The following is a 16334-nucleotide window of genomic DNA, read 5'->3' as shown; positions in this document are numbered from 1 at the left end:
GCGGTAGGTGACCCCAATAGGTGAGTAGGAAAACAAAAATCGTTCACTAAAGGAACTTTGAGGAAGTAGTTGGTTTGCTCAGGCAGTTTCACTAGAGTGATGAGGCCAGAAACTTTACTATTGTGAGTTGAGGCATGAGTGAAAGGAAGAAAGTGAGACAGTGTTTCAAGGTTATGAAGGGAATGTCCCTGTTTCTTACTCTCCCATTTTTTTTAAATGGGAAAGACTAAAAATTATTTAAAGGTGGCAGAAATATCCTGCTGTGTTTTCCTGCCATTTTGGTGGCCTCTACCATTGTTGAACATTTATTGCATGAAGGTCAGACCCTCCTTATATCATAGTTGATTATATACTGTTCTTCAGTGTTTGTTTTTAATTCATTATTTATTTTTTATTTACAGACAGGGTCTCGCTCTGTCCCCCAGGCTGGAGTGCAATGGCACGATTGTAGCTGACTGCAGCCTTAAACTCCTGGGCTCAAGTGATCCTCCTGCCTCAGCCTCCCAAGTAGCTGGGAAGTGATTTTCTTCCTTGTCTTAGCACTCTTATTATAAACTTACCAAGTGCAGGGCCTGTGCCTTAAACTTCTCTTGAAAAATATTCTCCCATACTCCTAGCCAAGATGCAGGTATATTCTGAGAAAGGGAATAAGCCATGTATAAAAAGAGATTTCACCCTACTCAATAAAACTGTGGTTCTTATAGATGAAGTAGTGAGCTTTGCTCATTTTATTTTTCAAATCTAAACTAATACTACTACTTATTTTTAAAAATAAATATGTTTACACTTATTTGTATAAACAGTACAAAAGTATAAAGTAAAAAGTAAAAACCTGCCTCTCTCCCACTTCCAAAAGCAACCACTGTTAGTTTCTTATTATCCTGCAGACCTTCTTTCTAAGAGTATAAGAATATGTATCTTTTTTTTCTTTAGGTAGCGTGCTTGTAGTCATCATTCTGTAAGAGAGTTAGGATGAGACTTCCCATAAGTAACTATCATTCCTTTCCTCTGAAAATCCCAGTAATTTCTTCTCTGGAGAGCAAAGCCCAAGATACACATGGCCATAAATAGGCTGTTCACCTCTCCCTGGGAGCAAGTGGTTGAAGCTCAGACAGTACAAAAATATTATGACTGCCTTGGGGCATAAAGGGAGGAAGCGAGTTGGGAGTTAGGTAAACCTATGCTGGGGGCTGAATGGGCAGGTTGTCTGAGCAACGCTGAGCTCCGCTGCTTTCCCACTGTTCCTGTAAGGCTCCAAATAAAGGTCTTCAGTGTCCTCTCCTCACCACAGGGTGGGGAATTAGGGAGTGTCCTCTGTCTCACCTCCTGCAGTTCCCAGAGCAGTTTGGACTCACATCTGCTGTTACCATTGTGGTCCCCCGTCTCGACACTGTTCACCGTGTTCCTGGGTAGACCAAAGGGAGGGTAGTGGCAGCCAGCAGGATAACTCCTCTTTTCACTTTTTCTGTTATACAGGGTCCTAGCAATGGACTGCAGACTCTAGAATAAACCCTGATTCAGTACCAGTGAATAAATGAAACTGAGCCAGGCACTTCTCTTTAATAGGCTTCAATTTCCTCATCTCTTAAATAAAGTTAGCAACAATGACTAATCTCATAAAAAGAAAAGATAGGTCATCTCTTTTCATGGTTGTCCTATCTGAATGGGGCCAGGTTTCTTAAGAACAGAGCCCATGTCTTATGCAGATCCGCATTTAATACGTGAATGAGAAGTATTGTCATCTCCAGTTTATAGCTAACAAACTAAACTTCTCCTCTCTCGGGCCTTGATATTCAGCCACTATCTGCTTATGCAGTCATCAAACACCTAAAGAAAGAAGTGGACAGAGTATTTTTATGCACCGCCCCCTCCCCGCTTCCTCACCACGGTGTTTTTTAAGTGAAATGGATTGTGTGAGTCAATGGGAAGACTCACTCCATTCTTGTCTTTGGGGTAATTGTGGCAAAAATCAGTTGTGATTTTCTCAACACATGCCCACAGTGGAAGGGGACTTGTCCTCATTGTCAATCATCTCAGGCCATGACTCATGTTTTTCCAGAAACTTCTGTTCAAATGACACACCTCAGAGGCCCCCTCCTGCCACCCTTCATCTCAGCCCCAATTCATCACTGATTGATTATTGATTTACTTGTTAATTTGCTTGTCTAGTACCTCTTTTTATTCCCTTGGCTATAACCACCGTAAGAGTAAAGATCACAGTCACTGCCATATTCCCTGCAACAGGGAGTCACCTGTGCCATAGCTGACAGACAAGTGTATGAATCAAAACAGAGGTTCACATGAAGGGAAGGGGATCCCGAAGCAATGCTTGGGCTTGCCTTAGTCCGAAGCAGATAAGGTGGTTATAACCATGAAGTGTGATTAAGAACGACACCGTGGAGGAATTCCTCTCACCCCCAAGACACTAAAAATTCCTCTCCTCATTGATAACCAAAATGAATGGCAACTTATTTAATAACTGGGCTGAGAATAGCCTTCACTTTGACACTCTCCTCACGTGGGTCTCAAACTTGATCAGCCTTGGGTGTCCTTGTTCCAGCTGTTTCCGTTTGTCCCTTTGTCCCCCTCCTGTTCAGACATTTCTGTCTGAACATAAATGTCTGTTTCTGTTCTGTACTCTCCTTTCCTTTTAAAGTTCCCACTGTCAACTCTATCATCCAGGGCTGTTCCCACCCACAGCTTATAGCCCGCCTGAGAAGTAGGGCACATTCTTGCCAGCTTCCCACTTCACTACAAAACCTCCTCGGTCTAGGTTGTGTGTTGCCACTCCAAAATGAAGAACAACAAAAATAACAAACATGAAGTACATTGCTGAGAAATCTAGAAACCTTGCAAAGACGTTGTTCTGGCCTGTAGCACCTGAGGCTGAGTCCTGGGTGCTCTTGTACTCCTGGGTGGAGAGACCAGCCAAGCCTTCACCTCCCTCCGTCCCTCGGCTCGCCCTAGCCCCCACTCATTGTAAAGGTACAATAGAATTGAACAAAAGATGCTTCATTCATTCTTTCAACAAGTGTTTATCGAGTGCCCACCAGATCCTAGGCACTGTTGCAGGGAATATGGCAGTGATTGTGATCTTTAATCTTATGGTGGTTATAGCCAAGGGAATAGAAAGAGGTACTAGACAAGCAAATTAACAAGTAAACCAATAATCAATCAGTGATGAATAGGGGCTGAGATGAAGGGTGGCAGGAGGGGGCCTCTGAGGTGTGTCATTTGAACTGAAACCTGAAAGATGAGAAGGGGTTTGTCCTGCAGAACTGTGTAGGAGAGCCAGGCGGACAGAATGTCAAGTGCAGGGAAGAGCTGGGGTGTATTTGAGGAGTAGAAAGGAGGCCAATGTGGCAGCAAAGTGTGTAAGGGGACAGTGACACAGATGAAGCTGAAGGGGTGAGCTGGGGCCAGGAACCCCAGGGTCTAGGGGTTTATAGTAACGAGATTGTTTTGATCATAGATGCCAGGGGTTTCATGTGGTGGAGGAACACGATCTGATATAAAGTTTTGAAGAACCACCACAGCGGAGTGTGAAAAATGTAGGTGCTTGGTCACCTTTTCAAAAAGTGTGCACGGATGGGCCAGTTGATATCACCTTGTCTTCAATCGGTGATTTACAGCTAAAGGGAAAGATGATACCCACCTCCTCACCAACAAGACCTCCTGGGGGTATTGGAGGGGATCCAGGCCTGCTCTCCAGCCTGTGTGGGGAGTCCACTCTTTCCAGAGCCAGGACTGCAGGATATAGGGACGCAAGACCTAGGCTCTGGGGTGGAAGAGGGCGCTGGAAGGTACCAAAAGCCAGAGAAGTCAGTGAAGACATATGGACAATCTTTTCATGCCACCTGGACGTGGAGCTTGGATGCTTGGAATTTCCTTTCTTGACAATTCTGAGATGGGCTTTCTAACCTACTTCCTATATCTAGCTTTCTTCTCCTAATAACACTTACAGTTGAAGAGAAATCTCTAGACACAACTTCCTTAAGGTACCCAAGGCTTGGGAAGTTACGTGTGATGGGGACAGAGTAAAATATCCAAAATGTTTCTTACTAGTGTGATGGGGACAGAGTAAAATATCCAAAATGTTTCAGTACTAGAGATCCCAAGAGGAGTGTAACTGAGTGTGACTAACAGGAGTCTGGATGAGACTGGCAGGGTGATTGTCCCGGCCAGCATGCTCTTCCCAGCACCAGGCTCCAGGCAGCACTCGGTGCATCAAGGAGTTCTACCTGCACAATCTGCTCAGAAATACTATTATACAGCAGGATGCGGTGGCTCATGCCTGTAATCCCAGCACTTTGGGAGGCCAAAGTGGGCAGATCGCTTAAGGTCAGGAGTTTAAGACCAGCCTGGCCAACATGGTGAAACCCTGTCTCTACTAAAAATACAAAAATTAGCCAGGTGCAGTGGCATGCGCCTGTAATCCCAGCTACTCAAAAGGCTGAGGCAGGAGAATTGCTTGAATTTGGGAGGCAGCGGTTGCAGTGAGCCAAGATCGTGCCACTGCACACCAGCCTGGGTGACAGAGTGAGACTCCATCTCAAAAGAAAAAAAAAAAAAAGAAATACTATTATACAAGAAGTGTTTGGGTAGGTGCCCCTCCCCACCAGCTCCTGACATCTTTTGACAGTGTTTTTGCCATTCCCAAGCATAGAGAGGCTGGAAAGCCTCCAAAGGAAAGCTAAACAGGGAGCATATCATTTCCGAGGAGACAACAGATCACTTTCAATTGGACCTCTTAGCTCTAGTAACATTTCTAAGGCAATTCTCAAAGAAGCACTCTCCCTCCTCAACCAAAGCTCTTCTGGGAGGATTGACTCTCACAGCCTCACCTGGCAAAGCTACACAGAAGACTACTAAGTCCACGTCCCTAGGCTGAATCCTCTCAGGTCTCCAGAATCCAATTTTCAGCTGCCAGCCTGTTATTTCCTGGATACCCCACCGGTGCCTTAAGTCAACAGCTCCCAAACCAATTCATCATCTTCCCTTCTCCTGGCTTTCCTGTTTCTGTTGATGGCATCACTGTTCCCTCTGCTACCCTGGCTGGAAACATCTGAGTGAGTCATCCTTGACTCATCCTTCTCTCTTGTTCTCCGTATCAAATCAACTGCCGAATTCTGTAGTATCTGTTTCCATGATGTCACTTGAATCTGTCCCGTCCTTCCTATTGACACCATCCCTCTTCAGTGTGGGCTGTCGTTACTTCCCTCTCCACAGGGTCATCCTAACTTATTCCCTCACCATTAACCCACCTTCATACTGCCGCTGACTTAAGCCTCCTCCAACACAGATCTAATCGCATCACGCCTGCCATGGATCCTCACTGCTGCCACACTAAATATAAACCATCTTTCAGCTTTATAAGTCACAATTCCCTTTGCAATACATGGTGTTCGAGCTAACCATACTAATCACTGATGCAGCACATGACTTTTGTCCTGTCAAGAACCCCCTTAATATTTAAATCAGCTGCAAAGGATGATAAGATCTTATATTACTAAGTTTGGTATTCTATGCATTTATATGCTTGTTCTATCCACTTAGAAGATTTGACATTCCTGTATTCTCTATCTCACATTTATTTTTGCTTCCTCTACTATTTAGGCCTTTGTATGTACCAGGCGTTGTTCTAAAAGCTTTATTTATATGTAGGAAATAATTTCACTCTCCTAACAATTCCTATTGTATCCCCATTTTACCAATGACAAAACTGTGAGGCACAGAAGTTAACTTGCTGAGGTTCAGGTTCCATAACTAAGAAGTAGCAGAGCCAGGATGCAAATTCACATGATCTGGCCCCAGAGCCCATGATCTTAACCACTGAACCCACATTTGTCTTTGTTACTTGCATTATCTATATTATGGTTTGGATTTAACTGGTGTTTTGTAACTGAATTGAACCTTTAGGCATGTGTCCATTAACAGTCAGAAATAACAGTTGTAGGCAGAGGGTGCAAATGTAACTTGATAGCAGAAGCTGATTTTAGGTGCTTCCCAGGAAGTTGCCGTGAAGCTAAGAGACAGCTTCTTGGAATTTTTGTCCTACTTCTTCTTTTTTTTCTTCTTATTGTAGTACATGGGCTGTGTTGAAGTGCTGCAATCAATGAGATCACTGGATTTTGGAATGAGAACCCAAGTTACAAGGTAAGAAGCCAAAAATGGGAGGGGCTTTGAGGAGTATGGTTTAAAGTCACAATAATTTCTCCCACAGGAATTTTATGCAAACCTTCCAATTCATTATGCACTTTTATTCACGCGACTGGAGTGTAGAAGGCTCGCCCAGTGACCTTCAATGAGTGGCTTGATCTCATCGTGTGAAAGATTTCTCAACTGTGTGGCAGTGCATCTGTGTTTCATGTGAGGATGAATAAGATGATACAGTCTACAGAAATAGCTGGTTTCCCAGGTACCAAAAGTATTTAAAATTATGCCTGGCAGGAAGCCATTACAGAATCAGACCTGTCAAGGAAGTAGCAGAAAATAAGACCAAGTAAGACTTTCAACATGAGAAAGCCCAAGCTTTCCCCAAGCTCTTCCTGACGTGAGAAACTGCTTACTCCTTGTCTGGGTCTCCCTCCTCTATGTACAGTGAGCTAGATGGAACAGTGGAATCAGGGAAGTTTTACCCAGGGTGACCCCAGGGAGCTTAGGGGAAGAAATCAGAATCCCTGTTACGTGGAGCTCAAGTCAGAAGCAGAAATACAAGGCATGGTTCATTAAAGCTAAGCCCAAAGCAAGGACGGAAAGAAGGAGTGAGTGCAGACTGGCAGCTGGAAAAATTGTGAAGTGAGGGAGATGAGGTGAGAGGACTGGGTCGATATGAGTGGTTCAGAATGAAGACTTGGGCATCCATTGGATGTGGTGCCAAGGTGTGTCTCAGGGGCATGCCACAGTAGATCTGTGCTTGCAGGCCTCCTGTTCTGAAGGTGAATATTGTCATGTAGAGAATAACTCTCCCTAATGCTCATCCCATGAAATTCTAGGCCTAGAAAAAGAAGTATCCTGTGGTCAAAAAATGTAGCGAAAGGAGCCACATCACTCTTTAGGAGACTACAGTATACAATAGTATATTGAAGACTCTGAGCCTGGTGCAGTGGCTCACGCTTGTAATCCCAGCAACTCAGAAGGCTGAGGTTGGAGGATTGCTTGAGGCCAAGAGTTTGAGACCAGCCAGGGCAACATAGTGAGACTCCATCTCTACAAAAGTAAAAAGAACATAGCCAGGCACGGTAGCACATGCCAGTAGCCCCAGCTACTCAGGAGGCTGAGGCTGGAGGATCACTTGAGCCCAGGAGTTCAAGGCTTCAGTGAGAGATGATTGTGCCAATACACTCCTGTGTGGGTGACAGCAAGACCCTGACTCATAAAAAAAAAAAAAAAAAAAAAAGACTGAGTAGTCCTGTGCTGCTATAGTTGAAAAAACTCTACCCCTCAAAATTTTCTTTTTCTTTTTTCTTTTTTGTTTTTTTTTTTTTTTTGAGACAGAGTCTCACTCTGTCTCCCAGGCTGGAGTGGTGCAATCTTGGCTCACTGCAACCTCCACCTCACATGTTCAAGCAATTCTCCTGCCTCCGCCTCCTGAGTAGCCGGGACTACAGGTGCCCGCCACCACACCCGGCTAATTTCATATTTTTAGTAGAGATGGGGTTTCACTATGTTGGCCAGGCTGGTCTTGAACTCCTGACCTCAGGTCATCCACCTGCCTTGGACTCCCAAAGTTCTGGGATTGAGGCGTGAGCCACTACACCCAGCCTTACCTTAAGATTTTCTAAACTTTATTGGGCCTTGGATCCTTTTCTCGTATAACAGAAATGTACATCCTAGGGTTCCATGAAATGTGCCTTAGGAAATGCTGATTGAGACTCTCTGCCTTATGATGCATTCAAATCTGCCTTTCCAAACCTCTCTCAGTCTATCCTTGGTATTTCCTCTGGAATCAAACATATTATATAATCCTGTTTTTTGTACTCTTGGTACCTACGTCAGTCACTGGCACATGGCAGAGGCTCACTGGATATTTACTGAATAAATTCATGGTTCCACCTGACTACACTTCCAGTATTTGCAAGCAGCTACATTTCTTCTCCCCTTTAAATCTTCTCTTACACATTCTCAGTGCCTTCAATTACTCTTCAAGTGACATGGTATCTACTACTTTCCAAACTGTTAGCCCTACTTTGATGGACATATTTCAGGGTTTACTCCATTTTGAAGATTCTTAATCTTGAGACATTTTTTCTTCCAATCCTGAGCAGGCTACAGATGAGAGAAAGAGGGCTGATACCCCAGGTTGGCACAGGACAAAGGAATCCCCACTGTCCTAACCTGAGAGCTATGGTCTGAATATGTCCCCTCAACATTTATGTATTGAAACTTAATTCCCAGTGTGAAAGTATCAAGAGGCAGGGCCTTTAGGAGGGGATTAATTCATTGGCCAGAGCCCTCACGAGTGGGATTAGTGATCTTATAAAAGGTGCAAGGGAGCATGTGAGGATGCAGCAAGAAGAACCTGGCTGAGGAGCAGCGTGAGCCTTCATCACACACCAGATCTACTGGTGCCTTGATCTTGGACTTCTCAGCCTCAAGAAGTCTAAGAAATACATTTCTATTATTTATTCATTACCCAGTCTGGGGTATTTTGTTATAGCAGCAGGAATGGACTAAGACACTGAGGATGACTAATCTTCTGTTCATTCACCCATTCATTCATTGATTCTTTCTTTTTCACTCGAATGTTTATGGAGTATCCATAAAGTTCCTGAAACTGTTCAAGTGAATAAGACAAAGCCTCTACCCTCATGGAATTTACACTGTTGCTGGGGAAACAGACTATAGGCAAGGAAACAGGTAAATAAGCAATCTACTTTCAGATAGGAAGAAGTGCTTATTTACTGCATCAAAAAAGCAGGGAATGAGGATAGAGATTTAGGTGGCGGGTTTTTAAATTTTATTTTATTTTCTAGTTATAAAATATTGCATGTTTACTTAGAAGATTTGGAAAGTACAGAAAAGTATGAAAGAGAAAATTACTCAGAATCTTACCTAGAGAGGGTGTCTATTAACAGTCTGTGTTTTAAATCCATTTCCAGTATTTTTTCTATACATGAGCTTACAAAGAATTTTACACAAAATCTGAACAATATTATATACTAAGTCTCCCATACTGAGCAATTTCCTGTTGCTAAAGATTCTAAAGCATGTTTTATCATGGTAAAATACACATAACAAGATTTACTATTTTAATCATTTATAAGTGTATAGTTCAGTGGCATTAAGCACATTCACATTGTTGCGCAACTATCGTCACCATCCATCTGCAGAACTTTTTCATCTTCCCGAAGATGAAAAACTGTACGCATTAAACTCTGTACTCATTAAACAGTAACTTCTGGCCAGGCGTGGTGGCTCACGCCTGTAATCCCAGCACTGGGAGGCTGAGGCAGATGGATCACTTGAGGTCAGGGATTTGAGATCACCTGATCAACATGGTGAAACCCTGTTTCTACTAAAAAAATACAAAATTAGCCAGGCATTGTGGCACACACCTGTAATCCCAGCTACTTGGGAGGCTGAGGCAGGAGAATTGCTTGAACCCGGGAGGCGGAGGTTGCAGTGAGCCGAGATTGCACCATTGCACTCCAGACTGGGCAACAAGAGCAAAACTCCATCTCAAAGGAAAAAAAAAAAAAAACGATAACTTCCCATTTCCTCTTCCTCCCCAGCCCCTGGCAACCACTGTTCTACTTTTTGTGTCTATGGATTTGACTGGTCTAGGTACCTCATAAAAGTGGAAACATACAGTATTTGTCCTTTTCTGTCTGGCTTATTTCCTTTAGCACAATGTATTCAAGATTAATTCATCTTGTAGCATGTGTCAGAATTTCATTCGTTTTTAAGGCTCAATACTACTCTCTATTGTACGTCTATACTACATTTTGTCTATTCATCCATCAGTCAATAGATAAATGGGTTGTTTTTCTAAAATTTTAATGACTGCATAACATTCTCTTCTCTTCCTCTGCCTCTTCCTCCTCCTCCTCCTCCTTCTCCTTCTTCTTCACCTTCTTCTCCTTCTCCTTCTCCTCCTTCTTCTTCTTCATATATAGAGACAAGAGTCTCGATATGTTGGCCAAGCTGATCTTAACTTCTGGGCTCATGGGATCCTCCCACCTCAGACTTCCAAAGTGCTGGGATTACAGGCATGATCCACCATGCCTGGCCTCTTCTATTTTTCATCATTATAAGTAATGCTGTGATTAACATCATATATATATCTTGATTATATTTCCAAAGGACAAATTCTAGAATTAGGATCACTAGGTCAAACAATATAAATGTTTTAAAGGCTTTTGATATGTATTGCTGGATGGCTCTGCAGTCTATTTGTACTAATTGGTACCCCCTTTTCCCAGCCATTTATCTATTTTTATCTACTTAAAAAAATCTCTGGCCGGGCGCGGTGGCTCATGCCTGTAATCCCAGCATTTTGGGAGGCTGAGGCAGGCAGAATAATTTGTAGATTTTTATTTTTACATACAACTAGAAACCTACCAAGTAAGATATAGGAAGTTACTAATGTTAAGAATTTGTAAATTAAAATGAGTGCATTATTCGGGTTTATCAAGAATGATCATTCATCACTCAGATGTGCAATATTACAAAGCTCCTGCTCATGCACAGTTGAAGGTAATTGGAATTCCCATGCCAGGCGCAGTGGCTCACGCCTGTAATCCCAGCACTTTGGGAGGCCGAGGCGGGCAGATCATGAGGTCAGGAGATCGAGACCATCCTGGCTAACACAGTGAAACCCCATCTCTACTAAAAATACAAAAAAAAAAAAATTAGCCAGGCGTGGTGGCAGGTGCCTGTAGTCCCAGCTACTCAGGAGGCTGAGGCAAGAGAATGGCGTGAACCCGGGAGGCGGAGCTTGCAGTGAGCCAAGATCGTGCCACTGCACTCCAGCCTGGGTGACAGAGCAAGACTCCGTCTCAGAAAAAAAAAAAAAAACAAACTCCGTGAACTTGTAGGCCTATATTTCCCTATTATTTTGTAAATAGTAAAAGGTGAACTGTTTTTTTTTTCCCCTCTCCTTTGAGGATTCAGTTATGTCTAACATACACACCAAGGGGAAGATATCTGGTATGGTATCTGGATATTGTTTCTTGTAGATGTGTCTATACATGATTCAGGCATGGCTGATTGTGTTCTAAGCAGTTATGGAAGCTCGAGTGTGATGGTCTTTTACTTTTAGATCTGGTGGTCAGGAAGTCCTATCTAAGGAGAGGACATTTGAGCTAGGGCCTGAATAAAGTAAGGGATCCAGCCATGAAAGTATCTGAAAGAAGAGAGCTGAAGGCAGAGGGAAGATGACCATGGACATCATGGGTCCATGGTGGCAACATTTGGGCAGGGAGTTTGATAAAAATGTGAGAGAGGTCAGGCATGGTGGCTCACACCTGTAGTCCCAGCACTTTGGGAGGCCAAGGTGAGAGAATCATTTGAGTCTTGGAGTTTGAGACCAGCCTGAGCAACAGAGTGAAATCCCATCTCTACCAAAAATAAAGCATGGTAGTGCAAGCCTGTAGTCCCAGATATGCTATAGGCCAAGGTGGGAGGATCACCTGAGCCTGGAAGGTCAAAGCTGCAGTGAATTGTGACCACACCACTGCACTCCAGCCCAGGTGACAGAGCAAGACCCCATCTCTACAAAAAAAAAAAAAAAAAAAATTAAAATAAATTTTTAAGAGTGTGAGAGGGTGTGCATCTTCTCCCAAGAGTGGATGCAAAAACATTCAACCGTCAACTCAGGAGAGGGAAACGCTGACTGGAGGGGAGGATCAAATTTTAAAATGTCCTATGGTGTCAAGTGGTCCTACTTGAAGTCTGGAGATTCCAGCCACCAGTAGACTAGGGACCTTATCCAGGGAGGTCTTGAAAGCAGTGAGGCTGATTTCCAAGTGCCAGGGCCAGACATCAGTCCCTTGCTTCAAAATCCTGTCCCCATCCCAGCTTCTTGAACTATTTCCCTGGGGCTTGTTGAATTTGAAATGCTGTGACTTGCAGCTACTTGGGTGTGACAGCAGACCTGGGAAGCCCTGACCCAGAAGGGAGAAGGAAAAACCCCATCAAAGAAGGGTAAATTTAAAAAAAGAGAGAAGATATAAAATAGATTATCTCTCACTTTAAAGAATTAGCAAAAAATCAAAATTTGCTGAACAGAAAAATTATATTGCAGAATTCACCTCTGACTTCCTTTTAATGGTGAATTCCTTGGTGTTTCAAATAACGTTTTGTATGGAAATAAATTACTTTCACATTTTTTTCTCAGGAGCTCAAATATTGCTGAAAGAGAGGGTGATCTTTGAAACTCTTCTTTCAAACTCTAGGTCTTGAACTAAATAGGACTATGAGCTAAATGAAAAGACTTTATAAACATAAAAAAATTTAAAGAAAAAATGGAAACGATTCAATAGTAATGTTTAATAAGAACATCTAAGACAATCGGTAACAAAACAACCTGAATAGTGGTTGAACATCAAAAATACATTGCAGTTGAAAGAAGAGAGAATGACAAAAAAGGAAAAATTAGAAGGAAGAACAGTATTTGGGAGGTTGGGTGGGAAATAGAGGTTGTTGAGAAAGTGGTCCATATGGCCTTGAGAAACACACATTGTTGAATGAGCCAGTTTAAAGTCAAGGTGAGAGAATGTCCTATGGACACCACACTCAAATCAAATATTTCCATCCAGTTAACACCACACTCAAATCAAATATTTCCATCCAGTTAACATATGGGGGAGTTGGGTGGGAGGGTGGTGGACGGGATCTTTTGTTGTGTTTTTTCAAAAAAAATTTCCATGGGCCAAGTTAGGATTTCACAAGAAAAAACTGTATTTTGTGTGATCATAGCTATCTCTAGACATTGACATACCACCAAACATAGAATAATTCAGGTGTGAATGCTGACAAACTGGTGTAAGTAATTACCGCTACAGATACAAACAACTGGAGGCTGATGTCTCACTCACTGTAAATATTTCACCATCTTTAGATTCCAAATATCAGGGAGACAGCAACATGAAATTCCTGGTAATAAAGGAGGAGCCATGATTAAGAGTCAGCCTTTGAAACAAAGGAGAAAGATGGAGCAGAATTCTTTTCTTTAGAGGGACCTTTCTGCCAACCATTTGAGGGCTGAATCCACAGACTTAGAACACAGAAAGTACTCAGATAGAGCAGAGGAAAATAAAAGGACAAGAGGCCATTGACTTTCTCAGCCATTCCCTGGATGTCACCCCTTTCAAAGCTCTCATCTTGCTTCCCTACCTTGACTCTAGATTTAGTCCCTGGGGGAGCCACTTGAATGGCTTTTACTGTTGTTCCTCCACTAACTCTCACCCAGGCATTCATCCCCTTGGCTGATTCTGGACCAGATCTCCATTTTTAATAATAGAATATTCATGCAAAAGGGCAAAAGAGGAGGTTTTTACTGATAGTAAAGAGAAACAAGATCATTAGGAAAACAAAGTTTCCTAGCCGCAGTTGTCTTTAAAATGTCCGGAACTGTATCCAAAGGAAACAAGGGAAGAGAGAAAATGAAGATCATGCTAAGAATGACATTGTTACTTAAACTTTCCTATAAAAATGTATTCCTTATGTTTTTAAAAACACAGTTAAAGAAAATAAAACAATAACAACAACAAAAACACCTGACCTAAATCAGGAATCTGACACACACACACACACACACACACACACACACACACACACACACACACAAGAAATCAGGTCACTAAAACTTAAAGCTCAGCTTCCTTCCCTTAAGTAAGCATCCACATCAAGTAAAGAAGAAAAAAAATCTTCCTTCTCCTCTAAGGATGGCTACCTCTTTGTGTCTAGGTGGGAACCTGCATCAAACGCTGAAGGAGGAATAGACACATCAGGGTAAACCCAGTAAGTGGAGCTGGTGAGAAAGGGCTTGACTTTCAACCCTGAAGAACAGAATACATTTTGATACCCAAGGAAATTGCAAAGGGAACATTTATTTCATCACCACAGTACATAATTCACCCCGAGGGGCGGAGCACACCATTGGCAGAAGGGACCTCCAGATCACTGTCTTACCACTCTGTACTTTTCTGATATTTAGTGCCTTACACATGTAACTTGTATTCAGTAATAAAATCAGCCAGGCTCCCAGCACAGGATCTGCCCAAGCCAGGCTTACTGGGCAACTAAGAAGCAGTGGCTTGGAGTGGGTTTTCCTCCTTTGTGTGATTGCCACCCTGGGGGTCTATGAAGGAAAATGGGGAACTGTTAAAGAATGGGTGGTGAGTGCTCCGTTTTGAGGTCCTGGCTTCGGATTCATTTTCTCTAGCTGATCTCTACCTGTGCCTCGTGGTGTATCTGTCCCATTCCATTCTGTGTAGGAAGAAACCCTGAGTAGTGTTTTTTTTTTTTTTTGAACTGATGCTATAGACAGTAAGGAGGTTCTCTGGGTGATTTGGTACTAGCTAAAGCAACAAGGAAACAGAGATCATCATTCAGAAGTTATTGTAATTGGATTAATTTCCTGTGTATGTTATTGCTCCTGAGCAGTGATTCTGCAAATTTCATTCACTATGTTGAAAATTTTTATTATTGGGCTTCAACAGGACATTAAAGGCAGTGACAAATGCCTTTAATGACAAATGCATACTTCTGGGTGTGTGTGTGTGTGTGTGTGTGTGTGTGTGTGTGTGTGTGTGTGAGCAACCATCAGCTGCAAAGCAGATTCAAGATGCAGCTGAACAATTACATAAAGTCCTGTACATGTGGTTTTCAATAAACGTCAACTCTAGAAGGAAAAGCATTCTGGAGAGGTCAAATATCTGTATATTAGGTAGCTAAATTAAGATATGTTTGAAAACAGTCTGGCGTTTGTCTAAATTTTCTGAGGATTGCAGAACAGGATTAGTTACGGCAATGCATGGATAAGTGAGAGTATCTCTGCTAAGCCTTGGAGTAGTTGAACAGCATATGGTATGTGGATTCTGTGTTGACTTGTTGCAGTTAGGAATAGGATTGCAGCCACTTGTCATGTGAAATAAAGATCACCAGAGAGGGGGATAAAAGGCCAAGTCTATTAATTTAGCAGACAAGGGAACATTCCCCAGTGAAAAAATTTACTGAGAAGAGTGCTAAGGAGAAAAAAATCAGGAGTTTTAAAGTTCTAATTTATAGTGATTATACTAAGGATTGAAAACAAGCACTGTAGCTAAGGCAGAATGCCCACGGTTGATTAAAACAGGTTGCATTGTTCATTGGTCAGGAAAGGGTGTTAAGGCCCCTGCAATGGTCTGCTGTCCAAGGGTCAAGGTTCATGGCCATTATCAGCTGATTAGAACAATAAACCATGCAATAAAACATAGCATCCAAAGTTGATCTCCCCTCAGCGAGCACTGGTGTCAGTGGAAGGATGATTTCCTTTCACACACGTGCAGATGTCAGGAAGCCTTTGCTGGAAGTCTGATGTTGTGTATGTGAGTGTGTGCACAGTGACCACCTCTTTTAGTTTCAGGTTTCACTGCTCTCCAGTTTTGCCCAATATAAGATCTCACTTTTCAGATACTTGAGATAATTGAAATAGCCAACTAAATTCCTTTTAGAAGCCTTCAAAGATCTAGTCATTTAAAAAAAAATTCCAATCAATTGGGAATGGTTCTGATAGCATGACAAAGTCAAATGCAGACAGAGAGGGTATGAAAGCCAATTGTACCTTTTTGCTCTGTCATTAGCACAATGTCTTTCACACAGCAGGCACATAGTTACTATTTGTTTGAATAAACAGGTGTAAAGTCAAGAAATATAGCTGCTAAGGCAACCGACGGAATGGGAAAAATATTTGAAAATCATATATCTGATAAGGGATTAATATCCATAATATGTAAAGAACTCCTATTACTCAACAAAAAATAAAGAACCCTATTGAAACAATGGGCAGAGGACTTGAACAGATGTTTCTCTGAAGAAGATATACAATCATACGCATAATTCCTCTTATATGGGGTACCTACAGTAGTCAAATCCAAAGACAGGAAGTAGAATGGTAGCTGTCAGGCAGTAGGGGGAGTTACTGTTTAATGCTTATAGAGTTTCAGTTGGGGAAGATAGAAAAAGTTCTGTTCTGGAGATGGATGGCGGTGATAGTTGCACAACAATGTGAATCTGCTTAATGCCACTGAGCTGTATGCTTAAAAATTATTAAAATGGTAAATTTTGTATTACGTATATTTATTATATATATTTAAAACAGCAGTTACCAGATGACTTATATTTTTGGA

The 16334-nt window shown here is 42.2% G+C and overlaps 1 protein-coding gene across 2 annotated transcripts in view; it reads left to right on the top strand.

Annotated features, from left to right (window-relative positions):
- The window catches only part of SHC4 (SHC adaptor protein 4), a 140179-nt gene that overhangs the window by 32885 nt on the left and 90960 nt on the right, over window positions 1-16334 (top strand). For both annotated transcript variants that reach the window (NM_203349.4, XM_005254375.4), the window contains exon 2: window positions 6086-6156. In NM_203349.4, coding sequence (NP_976224.3) covers window positions 6086-6156 — 71 coding nt within the window. The remainder of the gene's footprint in view (window positions 1-6085; window positions 6157-16334) is intronic.

Source organism: Homo sapiens, chromosome 15 (assembly GCF_000001405.40).
Source record: "Homo sapiens chromosome 15, GRCh38.p14 Primary Assembly".
Lineage (NCBI taxonomy): Eukaryota > Metazoa > Chordata > Mammalia > Primates > Hominidae > Homo > Homo sapiens.
This window is presented reverse-complemented; position numbering and strand designations above follow the sequence as displayed.